A 553-nucleotide genomic window follows, 5' to 3' on the forward strand; every position below is an offset into this window, starting at 1 on the left:
TAACCATGGGTAGAGATACAGCTCATGCGTGTGTTTAGAGAGCATTAAACTTAAGATACTCAAAATCAGTGAAAATCTATCCAACTTCTGAAGATCCTTTATGATTAAGAAATAGCATCTGCTGTTCAGTAAAGAAATGAGTCCAGAAAAACACTTTCAGACATGAGACAGCTTGGAAAGCGTTTGTCTACTAATGACAGGATGAAATTAAAGTGAGAGCAAGTATAGTCTAACCTAGTTTTGACACAATTGATCTTAGGCTGAAGAACCATGAAGTCTCTTGAATAAGGGCACTAAGAAATTAGGACAAGCATGATTCATATAAGCCCCAATGTTTGCAATGTGTCTTTCAGAGTTTTCTAATTAACCCCAGTGAAATTTCAAACACAGTTTTTTCTATTGCCTTAAGTGGTAAGGAAAAAAATAAATGTCAGATAGGACTATGATGTGCTAGTTTTTACTTGGGGAATTACAGCTGCTGACCCGCTGTCATTAGATCACTTTGATGTGTGGAAGCATGAGTGGATTTCTGCTGATCTCTCTCTAGGCTTAC

At 37.1% G+C, this 553-nt stretch overlaps 1 protein-coding gene and 1 long non-coding RNA gene across 2 annotated transcripts in view; both read right to left on the reverse strand.

The window, feature by feature from the left end:
• The window catches only part of NALF1 (NALCN channel auxiliary factor 1), a 703,987-nt gene that overhangs the window by 363,205 nt on the left and 340,229 nt on the right, over nt 1-553 (reverse strand). The window lies entirely within an intron of this gene.
• The window catches only part of LOC112268110 (uncharacterized), a 31,815-nt gene that overhangs the window by 3,213 nt on the left and 28,049 nt on the right, over nt 1-553 (reverse strand). The window lies entirely within an intron of this gene.

The sequence above is a fragment of the Homo sapiens genome, chromosome 13, assembly GCF_000001405.40.
Source record: "Homo sapiens chromosome 13, GRCh38.p14 Primary Assembly".
Taxonomy (NCBI): Eukaryota; Metazoa; Chordata; class Mammalia; order Primates; family Hominidae; genus Homo; species Homo sapiens.